Genomic DNA, 11,887 nt, shown 5'->3' on the forward strand with positions numbered 1-11,887 from the left:
ATGTTCACACAAAAACCTGTACACAAACGTTCCTGTCAGATTTACTTATAATAGAGCAAAACTAGAAACAACCAAAATGTCCTTCAGTAAGTGAACGGTTTAACCAAACTGAGGTACATTCATGCAATGGAATACTACTCAGCAATAAAAAAGACAAACTAACAATACCTCCAACAACTTGGATGGACCTCAAAGGCATTATGTTGAGTGAAAAAGGCCAATCTCTAAAGATCACATATTGTGTGATTCCATTTATATAACATTCTTAAAATGATGAAATTATGGGGATAGAGATTAGTTGTTGCCAGGGTTAGGAATGATGGGGGTGAGAGTAGTGGGCATGACTCTAGAAGAGTAACATGAAGGAGATTTTTGCAGTGATGGAATAGTTCTGTATCTTGATTGTAGGGTGGTTACACAGTCTACAGGTGATAAAATGGCACAGAACTCTACACACACCTTCCATGACTATCAGTTTCCTTGTCTTAATATTGTATTACAATTATGTAAGATATAACCATTGAGGGAAACTAGGTGAAGGGTAAATGGGATCTCTGTACTATCTGTGCACTTTCTGTAAATATATAATTATTTAAAATTAAAAATTAAATACAAAAAAAAACCACTGGTAATTTTTTCTTGTCATTATTATCCATTTCATTTCATTATTATTGCTGAAAATAATTTTGCTGTATAGAAGATAGGGATCACTAAAAATGATCTACTCCAGGTATCAAATATTCTATGAATGCCACTGAATATATCAAAGAGAAATGAATGCATATGCCATCAAAGGACATGTCTATTCATCGTAGATTTATTCATAAGAGTCCCAAACTGAAAATAACTGAAATGACTGTCACCAGGAGAAGAAATAAATTGTGGTATATTTATACAATGGAATACAAAAAAAAAAAGAGGAAAATTTTCATTCTGCTTTATATTAATATACATATTAAAGCCTCAACTATATTTTCAGTAATAGGGTCTAATAACGCATCCTTACTCAAAAGTATGTCTGAGGATCTATGCTGAGGAGTTGGCAGTGCTTCATTCAAAACACTAAAAACAATTTGTTTTCAAATTATATTACTATAGGATACATTCGTTTCTTTAAGATTTTTAACAATTCATCTAACTAGCAAAAACTCAGTCATACAAGTGAAATCTGTAAAATGTTGCTAAATCCATAAATTTTAAAAGCACAACCACTTACGAACCATTTTGTTTTCTTAATATGTTAAGATAAATTTACTAGGGAGTAGAAAATATATGAATGGTCCATTGAGAGTCACTTGGCTAATATACCATTTTCCACCCACAGCATCTTTTCCCCCCAGCAACCAGTAGCAAAGATGTCCAAATCCCACTGAGGACAGGGTATGAGTGCATGCTTTACACAGGCTTGAAAATCCAAGTCTAATCCTCTTTTGGTTACCTCAAGCTTAAGACCTAGACAAATCCCTACCTGTAGAACTCAGTTATCCATCTACAAGCCAAGGAGGGTGGCAAGTCGCGTCTGGCCCTGTGCGTTACTACTCCGGGTTTCTTCACTGCCCTCCTTCAGCAGCTCCCCAAGCCCTGAAACTTCCCATTCCCTCTCCTTTTGAGAGGGAATTTACTTTTAGCAGCTGCATCTGCAACTTTTATCTACTACTCACTGCAATGGCTTACTTCTCCTTTTGGCCTCTAGTAAGAGGGTTGAGGGTTTAGGGCTGTCCATATTATTAATAGCGAATTCATGACAGAAAGAGCAGATGGAAGAAGCTTTTCTCTGCACCATGTCTTGATCCCTCCACAGATGTCATTTTGCTGCTTTTTCACATCTGTTGACCTTTGGATTTCTGGTCTACTCAAATTTTGAGTGCTATGAAAAATGAACTCTTGTATTCCTTCTGTATTCCACCAGATTTAAACTCAGGTATTTTTGGATCATCCATTCCTGAATCTGGCTTAACATGATACACACCTTGCCCCACTCATACTAGATGACCTAACAACCTAAGTGACACTCACTCTCACAGAGCCTGGCATGAAGTAGGAGCCCAAAAATACTTACTGAATGAATGAATGCTAATGGCTATGTTTTAAACACTTCCAGGTAATATTTTGGACTGTAAAAATCCCTTCTGAATACAAAAACTTTAGCCAGTTACTCTAAAATTAAAAGACAGATGAAATCGATGATTTAGGGCATTCCATGGGTCATTCATGTGATCATCACTGCACTGAGAGATGTATCTGAAAAAAGGGGCAAAATGCACCATCACTACTATTATTCAACATAGCACTGGAAGTCCTAGCTAGAGCAATCAGGCAAGAGAAAGATATAATGGGCATCCAAATTTCAAAGTAAGAAGTCAAATTATCCTTGTTTGCAGATGACACGATCTTATATTTGGAAAAATCTAGACTCCACAAGAAAAGTCTTAGAACTGCAAAACAAATTCAGTAAAGTTGCAGGATACAAAATCAACATACAAAAACCAATAGCATTTCTATATGCTTACACTGAACAACGTGAAAAAGAAATTTAAAAAGTTATCCCATTTACAATAGCCATAAATAAAATTACCTAGGAATTAACCAAAGAAGTGAAAGATCTCTACAATGAAAACCATAAAACACTGATGAAAGAAATTGAAGAGGACATCAAAAAATTGAAACATATTCCATGTTCTTGGATTGGAAGAATCAATATTATTAAAACTTCTATACTACCCAAAGCAATCTACAGACAAAACGCAATCCCTATGAAAATACCAATAACATTCTTCACAGAAACAGAAAAAACAGTTGCTCATGCCTATAATCCCAGAACTTTGGGAGGCCAAGGTGGGTGGATCACTTGAGACTAGGAGTTCGACACCAGCCTGGGCAACATAGGGAAACCCCGTCTCTATTAAAAATACAAAAATTAGCTGAGGGTGGCAGTACACACCTGTGGTCCCAGCTACTTGGGAGGCTGAGGCAGGAGAACTGCTTGAACCTAACCTGGGAGGCAGAGGTTGCGGGGAGCTGAGATCCTGTAACTGCATTCCACCTTGGGCAACATACACTCCAGGCTGGACAACTGAGTGAGACCCTGTCTCAAAATAAAATGAAATAAAAGAAAATAAGAAAAGAAAAGAAAAAACAATCCTAAAATTTGTATGGAACCACAAAAGATTCAGAATAGCCAAAGCTATTCTAAGCAAAAATAACAAATCTGGAGGAATCACATTACCTAACTTCGAATTATACTACAGAGCTATAGTACCTCAAACAGCATGGTACTGGCATAAAAACAGACACATAAACCAATGAAAAAGAATAGAGAACCCAGAAACAAATCTACACACTTACAGTGAACTCGTTTTTGACAAAGGAGCCAAGAACATGCACTGGGGAAAAGACAGTCTCTTCAATATATGATGCTGGGAAAACTGGATATCCATATGCAAAAGAATGAAAATAGACCCTATCTTTCATCATATGCAAAAATCAAATCAAAATAGATCCAAGACTTAAATCTAAGACCTCAAACTATGAAACTACTACAAGAAACATTGGGGAAAAATCTCTAGGACATTGGACTGGGCAAAGATTTCTTGAGCAATACCCTATAAGCACGGGCAACCAAAGCAAAAATGGACAAATGGGATCATATCAAGTTAAAAAGCTTCTGCACAGCAAAAGATACAATCAACAAAGTGAAGAGACAACCCACAGAATGGGAGAAAATATTTGCAAACTATCCCTCTGAAAAGAGATTAATAACCAGAATATATAAGGAGCTCAAACAACTCCATAAGAAAAAAATCCAATATTCCAATCAAAAAATGGACAAAAGATTTCAACAGACATTTCTCAAAAGAACACATACAAATGGCAAACAGGCATATGAAAAGGTGCCCAACATCACAGATCATCAGAGAAATGCAGATCAAAACTACAGTGAGATATCATTTCACCCCAGTTAAAATTGCTTATATCTAAAAGACAGGCAATAACAAATCTTGGTGAGGATGCAGAGAAAAGGGAACCCTTGTACACTGTTTGTGGGAATGTAATACAACCACTATGGAGAACAGTTTGGAGGTTCCTCAAAAAACTAAAAATAGAGCTACCATAAGATCCAGCAATCCCACTGCTGAGTATAGGCCCAAAAGAAAGGAAATCAGTATATTGAAGAGATAGCTAAACTCCTATGTTTGTTGTAGTGCTGTTTACAACAGCTAAGATTTGGAAGCAACCTAAGTGTCCATCAACAGATGAATGGATAAAGAAAATGTGGTACACATGCACAATGGAGTATTATTCAGCTATAACAAAGAATGAAATCCAGTCATTTATAACACTATGGATGGAACTGGAGGTCATTATGTTAAGTGAAATAAGCCAGGCACAGAAAGACAAACATTGCATGTTCTCACTAGTTTGTGGGATCTAAAAATCAAAACAATTGAACTCATGGAGATAGAGAAGGATGGTTACCAGAGGCTGGGAAGGATAGTGGGGGGTTGGGGGTGGAGGTGGGGACAGTTAATGGGTACCAAAAAAAAAAAAAAGAATGAATGAATAAGACCTACTATTTGATAGCACAACAGGATGACTATAGTCAATAATTACAGGCGTGTGCCACCATGCCCGGCTAATTTTTGTATTTTTAGTAGAGTTGGGTTTCACCATGTTGGCCAGACCAGTCTTGAACTCCTGACCTCAGGTAATACACCCACCTCAGCCTCCCAAAGTGCTGGAATTACAGACATGAGCCACTGCGCCCGGCCAATTTTTTTATTTTTTGTGGAAATAAGGTCCCACTATGTTGCCCAGGCTGGTCTCAAACTCCTGGCCTCAAGTGATCAAAGTGCTGGGATTATAGGTGTGAGCCACTGTGCCCAGCCAAATAACAGCAATTCTTAATGTTTACACTCTTAGAAGTATCAGAAGCACTGAAAATATAACTGAGGAATTATAGTAACATTATAAATATATAATAGCTCTTGTTCTAAGAGCTGTAGCTCTAGGGAGGGAGACTATTTAGTATATTTTTGCTTTAGAGGTAAGGAATGTCTTGGTTTGTGAAACTAAAAGCATCTGCCAAGCTTCTGATTATATAACACTATAGATCATCTCCAGAGGATCACTCTTGGGTACTCCCATACAAATCTTCCCTCTGTGTAAGTGCACAGTAGTGGGTAGTCTATCAGGGCACAGACTCAGAGTATCCTACGATGGAAAACCACAATGAAAAGGGATACAGAGGCAACCACAGTACCAGATTGAGTAGATTGAGTACAGTAAAGACCAGGGGTCTGAAAACCGAGGGTCACCATGGGTCTGGGTCAGGAAGTGCCTTATAAGTCCAGGTGATCAGACCCCAGTGATCAGAATACCAGGCAAGGAAACAGACAATAAAGAAGAGAGTAGAGAGGGCCGGGCATGGTGGCTCATGCCTGTAATCCTAATACTTTGGGTAGCTGAGGTGAGTGGATCACTTGAGTCCAAGAGTTCAAAACCACCCTGCGCAACATGACGAAACCCCCATCTCTACAAAAAATACAAAAAAATTAGCTGGGCACAGTGGCGCGTGCCTATAGTCTCAGCTACTTGAGAGGCTGAGGTGGGAGGATCACTTTGGGCTCAGGAGGTGGAGGTTGTAGTCATGATCATGCCACTGCACTCCAGCCTGGATGACAGAGCAAGACCCTGTCTCAAAAAATGACAACCGAAAAACCCCCCAGGGAACCCAAGCACACATGCAGCACAGGTAGAGACTACAGCAGCAGGGGGAAAGCCCAACTTTACCAAAGATTCCTTGGCACAGGGGCTTTTGAAGAACTTCCTGCCAACAGCAAGGGTGAGGTTAATACCTAAAGTTCAGTAACATAATCTCCTTTGTTACTTCCATTCTAATTGAGAAGCAAGCACAGAACATTAGAACATAGTTCTCAAGCACACACTGTATTATTCAATGATATGTAATATATTGCCAAGACTTAAAGTTACAACTACTCTGTATATCCTCTTAAGACTAATTTACTTTAAATTAGCATTCTTAAATCTATTTTAATGTACCAACTTTGGATTCTGTTTGTGTGTTTTCTGATTTCATTACCTGAATTGCTGGTCTAGCTTTTCAGCCACAAAATCCTGCCTCTCTTTTTCATTCTTCTCTTTTAGTAATTTAGTTTTCTCTCTCATCCTATCTTTTTTCTCCTCAATGGTTTCTTTCTTCAATTGCATTTCTGTAAAATACTCATTTTCTTCTAATGCTAAAAGCTCACGTAGCCTGAAACAAAAAGCCAAAAAAAAAAAAAAAAAAAGAAAACTGTCATGCTACATGCATCGTTATATTCAATTTCAGAACTATAGGTCTAATTTGTAAGAAAAGAAAGATCACTGCAGTCTTCCACAGAATAAGACTGGTTGGTTTGTTTTTTTGTTTTTGTTTTTGTTTTTGTTTTGAGACAGGATCTCGCTCTGTCACCCAGGCTGGAGTGCAGTGTGATCATGGCTCACTGCAGCCTTGACCTCCTGGGCTCAGGTGATCCTCCCACCTCAGCCTCCTTGAACAGCTGGGACTACAGGCAGGTGCCCCTATGCCCAGCTGTTTTTTTATTTTTTGTAGAGATGGGGTCTCACTGTGTTGCCCAGGCTGGTCTCAAACTCCTGGGCTCAAACAATCCTCCCACCTCAGCCTCCCAAAGTGGTAGGATTATAGGTATGACCCACTAAGCCCAACCAACTGCACCATATTTTATTTGATCACATACAAATAAGATACGAAATATATATTTTTAACAAAAGAGTAAAATGAACAGGTTTCAATCAAAATAATGAAATATGAAACAATATATTGTTTTTCATCAAAATACAGGCTATCACAAATAAAAATATTAAAAATATTAACCAGCAATAGCTATGGATTTAATATAAACATCTCAGCCATGATCCTTGCTAAATTTGATTTTTGACTGGTCAATCTCAAATTGTGGTTTTAGGAATATTTCATGGTTTATGTCCCAGGTTTGTGAGCCTTACTTATTTCGTCTTTCTTCAATGTTAATGATAAACCCTTGCACAGCATCCTTGATTCTTGCTCGCACAAGGCTGTCCAAAATCTTGCAGTCATTGTGCTGGTCCCACTCAGCTTTCAAGCGATCCCGCTCACTTGACTTAATGGAAGCCAAAATAGCATTATGCTTCTGATGGCTGCGTCGGATTCTTTCTAGATGGTGCTCAGCTCCTTGGCCTTTAGGAGGCTTGGATCTCTGAAAACAAAAACCAACTATCACTTATAATAAGCCAAAGAATCAACTGCATATTTTCAATTAGTTATGCTCTCAATCAATACTCATACTAAATAAAATTGGGTATAAAAAACTAATACATCCTACTACAACTGAATACAGCTTATGCACCTAAAGAGTAACTTGTTTCATTCTCTGAGCCTATACCTAAGATGTCATCAAAACAGTCTCAAATATTTCTAATGTGCCATTTGAAAAATAGTTGATGGAAATTACAAAGTTAAAAATGTGAACAGGACTCTGTTGAGATTGTCTAGTCAAACCCAGAGACATTAAGTGATTTGCTGAACTTGCTTCAAATAGGGCAGATAAAACAAGAATTAGAGGTCTTCTAATTCCCGACCTTGACATTGCCACTCATTATTCCACATTATTTCTCACGGTTGGACACCATAGTTATCACATCAAAATACTTTCAATGAAAAGGTGCTACTATGCGAATATATAGAAAAAATATACATGTGTGTATATACATGTATATGTGTGTGTGTATATATATGTGTATATGTATATGGATATATAACGAGTTGTGATAATGAAAGATCTTTGACTAAGAAGGAAGAAATGAAGTGAGGGAGGAAGAGAGGAGGGAAAAGAAAAAAAGCTGGTGGTAGAACTTTATTCCTATTTCTATGGTGCCCAGAAGTTTTAATGCAAAGAGTGTGTTCCTGACCTTTTGGGCTACTTTGAATTTCTATAAATGTACTGTTTTTACAGAAATGTCCACTAAAAAAGTTAGAAATGCATGTACCATTTGAATATATATAGATACACTTAATGAAATCACATAGCCTATATCTTTTTCCTTTCTGTATTCCTAGCATTGAACATAATGCCTACTACAGTGAGGTCCTCAATAGAAATGAATGAATGAATGAGTGAATGAATGAAACAATGTTGCTGGGTGGGCTTGATGCAATTTCTGCACCTCCTGGAGCCACCATAAAATCCATAGTCTTGAGCTTTGTATTTTCAGGAACAGTTTTATCAAGTCATCCTTAGGTAAGTTGTGAGATACTGGGGTGCTGATTCACAGAAACAAAACTCTTAAGAGACAGAGAGTCAATCTGATCTTTTACATTTAGAATATCACCATCAGGATTACCAGAATACTAGGGTTAGGTGTTTGTAATGAAGTCTCCTGAGGAAAGAAAATCAACATTTGAAGACAGTTTAATGAAAAGATTCAGGGCTCAGGGTACACATATAGGTACCTAGATTTAGCTGAACAAGATAAGGCAAGCCTGGGGTGGTAAGGAGACAGAAGATGATGCTGGGGGTTATATCATGGAAAGTAGCTAATCCATGTCATAATTATCTGGAGCCTAGAGCCAGCTAATTAGATGACTGTTCTCCAATACAGTTGGCATTTTATGAATATAGATCTGTGAAAATAAAGCAGAGGAGGATCACAGTGGCACCCTTGGCAGCATACACAGCAGGAATTAAGGGTCCCAGTGTGAGCTGAGAACAGGAATGAAACACCAAGTAAATCTAGAAACACTGGCTCCAGTTGTCAGGACAGGAAACAGGGCTGAGGGATATTTTGGCTGAAGAGGTGACAAATACCATGAGCAGTACCCAAGGGGTCAGGAAGCCTTTTAAGGCTTGGGAATCATGTGAAGGACTCTGGTCTGGGAAGGACCCAATCTCTTGATAAGTTAGGGGTATGACCTGGAGTTCTCAAAAAAGGTGATGCCAATCCCAGCACAGTCGTGGTATTGTTCAAAGTCTGTACTGTTCAATATAAATATAATGCAAAACAGATATGTAATTCTAAATTTTCAAGTGGCTGCATTTAAAAAAGTAAAAAGAAACAGGGGAAGTTAATTTTGATAGTATATTTTATTTAACCAATATATCCAAGATGTTATCTTGTCAATATGTGACTCTAGGCACATTTCAAGTGCTCAAATGCTATGTGTGACTAGTGGCTACCTATTGGACATCACAGCTCTAAACCATGCTAAAGTCAGGAAAACACAGGATATTTTACTAACTACTGTGGGTTTTCAAGGTCACTGAAGGCTGTTATTGTAGCATCTCCAGTTATAGTTATTAGGATTACAATTTACAGTTCGGTTGTCTTAAAGAACAATGCTTTACATCCTAGGTTTGATTCTGGCCTCTGTCCATTACTAATTGAATGGAGCAAGTTACTTAATCTCTTTGAATCTTAGTTTTCTCACCTGTCAAATGAGCAAAATAAGTATCCTCCTAATGGATTCCTAGGAGACACTCATCAAATAGCTGCTCCTTTTGATGTCCCATTACTTCAGACATTAAATTTTTCACAGGTTTCTCCTGGGGAATTGTTTAGGGTCCAAGTCTCATCTGCTGGTGGCTTTAATTCTTGCAACACAATTCTGCTACCTCTAACATCTATCTTTCTTATCACACTCAGACACCGGAGGAGCAGATGCACCAACTCTAACCTCCTCCTTTTCCTCTTAATTCTTCTTAGGTGCAAAGTATTCAATAAGCCCGCTTCTCTGGTTTAGTGTTTTTGTTTGTTTTCTGTTCCTTATTGGTTCCCAACACAAGTAATAGCACCCAACAATGGCTCAGCCCCTGAGCCCAGTGTTTGGATACAGAACCCAAAGTAGATCTTCTGTCCTTCATGAAGTGTGTTTATAATTATCACCTTGAACCCTACAGCCTACTTATGTGTCCCATCTACTGCTTTCCAGCTCCAGATCTTACAGTACTTGGACCTAAAGAAGGAGCAGGTCTATAGGTTGACTGAAGTTTGCTATGTGCACTGTGGAGCATAATAAAACTGTATCACTGATCTTTCATCCATCAACTGACATCACAGACAATATAGCACATCATTATTTACCGTGCTAACCTTTAGTGGTTTCATTCTACCTAAGTTTTTTTTTGCAATTGGATTACAAGTTGAGCACCCCTAATTTGAAAATCTGAAATCTGAAATGCTCCAAAATCTGAAGCTTTTTGAGCACCCACATGATGACATAAGTGGAAAATTTCACACCTGACCTCATGTAAGGGGTCACAGTCAAAACACAAGCAAACAACACATATTTATTCAGCATCCCCAAGGGGAAAATAAAATTACCTTCGAGGTAATGAAATATAAATAAATTCTGTGTTTAGACTTGGGTCCCCTCCCCAAGATATTGCATTATGTATATGCAAGTATTCCAAAATCCAAAAAAAAAATCTGAAATCCTAGACATCTCTGGTCCCAAGCATTTCAGATAAGGGATACTTGACTTGTATAAGCTCCTTGAAGGGAGGGCTCAGGCTTCAATAAAGAGTTAACCTTCCAGGATCATTGTATCCACCCCTGTATCTCCCACAATACTGCGCACACAGCAGGGGCTCAAGCAATAACTCTGCCTACATGTTAGTTTTCTGGTGGGTAGAAACTAATTTGTAGAAACAAAAAAATCTACATGTATGGACCAATAGTGTCTGAGGTTCTCAGCAGGAACCATCAAATTCTGCAGCAAGCACATTTTCCTGGCCTACTACCACTCCAGCCTTAGAGGCAGGCACCTGAGTTTTTCCCAGGTCTGAAGGGACACTTCTGTCCAGCAATGGTTACTGGTTGAGTTGGCACAGGAAAGGCGTTGGGTGCTATAACCACTCACAACCTAATTCCCCTTCCTCAGACGATTTTCCTAGGAGTGAAAGACCAGCTCCAAATCATAGGCCCGCCCTGCCCCCAGATCTGTCTCTGGGCCGGGTGCCCTTTCCATAACACACACTCGCCACTGCATGGGGGACAGACATCCTTCCGGTGTCTTGGAGACTGAAAAACCCTAAGATCCCTAGTGGTGATTCTCCAAAAACAGAACCTAAATATTATAACTTTGGGGGCAGATGAAAGGCTGTAAGGATGAAAACAGAGGGAGATGAGTGGGTGAGAGGTGGGGTAGATAGGTGAGCGACCTTATCTTCCTTCTTTCAAAATTCAACCCACTGCATCAGGCGACACCCGTTCCCCTCGAGAAGGCCCCGGGTGGGGGCCGAAGTGGGATAGGCCAGGCCTGGAGTGCGGAGAGATGGAGAAAGCTGTAGGGTCTGGCAGACATATCCTGTGCTTACCACGATCACCACTTTGGGGGTGGGGCCCTTAACCTCCCGCTGTACGGTGCCAAACCGCTGGCTGTACATTTTCGAGTCCCCTTCGGGACGGGGGCGGCGTCCGCCGCGTTTCCCCCAACCGTGGCGACCTGCGGGACCCGCTTCCGCGACGCAGAAGTCTGGTTGCCATGGTGCGCCTCGCGGGATTAGGGGCCGGTAGAGGTGGGCGGGTCGGGCGGAAGTCGGTCTGGTCACCATGGGGGCCGCAGACGCCTGCACTCGGGACTTCCTCTTCCAGCTGAGAAGCTGAGCCTGCGCAGTCCTCACCCCGCCCCTCGGCCAAATCCCGCCGACCTTGCTCCCTTCCTCCAGGGTTCATCAGAATGGCAGAAAAAACCTCTAGCCCAAGAAAAATCAAAGCTCTAATTACAATTCCAGTTGACTTTGCTATTTATATCTTGTAATGGTCTAAAAGTATGAAAAAGGTTAGCGAACATTTTTTGGGAAGCTTAAATTTTGCACTATCTGTAGGTTAA

At 39.7% G+C, this 11,887-nt stretch overlaps 1 protein-coding gene and 1 long non-coding RNA gene across 2 annotated transcripts in view, besides 3 other annotated features; both read right to left on the reverse strand.

Moving 5' to 3' along the window:
• CFAP53 (cilia and flagella associated protein 53) overlaps nucleotides 1-11,532 on the reverse strand; it is a 39,303-nt gene extending 27,771 nt beyond the window's left edge. Inside the window, exons 1-3 of the mRNA NM_145020.5 lie at nucleotides 11,373-11,532; nucleotides 7,027-7,256; nucleotides 6,101-6,274 (exon numbers count right to left, since the gene is read on the reverse strand). Of these exons, the coding sequence (NP_659457.2) occupies nucleotides 6,101-6,274; nucleotides 7,027-7,256; nucleotides 11,373-11,441 (473 nt within the window). The 5' untranslated portion in view covers nucleotides 11,442-11,532. The remainder of the gene's footprint in view (nucleotides 1-6,100; nucleotides 6,275-7,026; nucleotides 7,257-11,372) is intronic.
• LOC124904300 (uncharacterized) lies at nucleotides 802-3,113 on the reverse strand. Its single transcript, XR_007066366.1, has 2 exons — nucleotides 2,942-3,113; nucleotides 802-2,241 (listed from the first exon to the last, which is right to left on the reverse strand). It is a non-coding gene; the product is annotated as an uncharacterized LOC124904300 (long non-coding RNA).
• Nucleotides 10,936-11,781: an enhancer, noted in NCBI's record as "H3K4me1 hESC enhancer chr18:47792269-47793114 (GRCh37/hg19 assembly coordinates)". NCBI's record gives its function as "activates a minimal SCP1, AML or CMV promoter by ChIP-STARR-seq in primed H9 embryonic stem cells {active_cell/tissue: H9 hESC(primed)}" and the evidence as "EXISTENCE:reporter gene assay evidence [ECO:0000049][PMID:30033119]".
• Nucleotides 11,128-11,257: an enhancer, noted in NCBI's record as "active region_13314". NCBI's record gives its function as "activates an Ori minimal core promoter by ATAC-STARR-seq in GM12878 lymphoblastoid cells {active_cell/tissue: GM12878}" and the evidence as "EXISTENCE:reporter gene assay evidence [ECO:0000049][PMID:35858748]".
• Nucleotides 11,428-11,497: an enhancer, noted in NCBI's record as "active region_13315". NCBI's record gives its function as "activates an Ori minimal core promoter by ATAC-STARR-seq in GM12878 lymphoblastoid cells {active_cell/tissue: GM12878}" and the evidence as "EXISTENCE:reporter gene assay evidence [ECO:0000049][PMID:35858748]".

This window comes from Homo sapiens, chromosome 18, assembly GCF_000001405.40.
Source record: "Homo sapiens chromosome 18, GRCh38.p14 Primary Assembly".
Taxonomy (NCBI): Eukaryota; Metazoa; Chordata; class Mammalia; order Primates; family Hominidae; genus Homo; species Homo sapiens.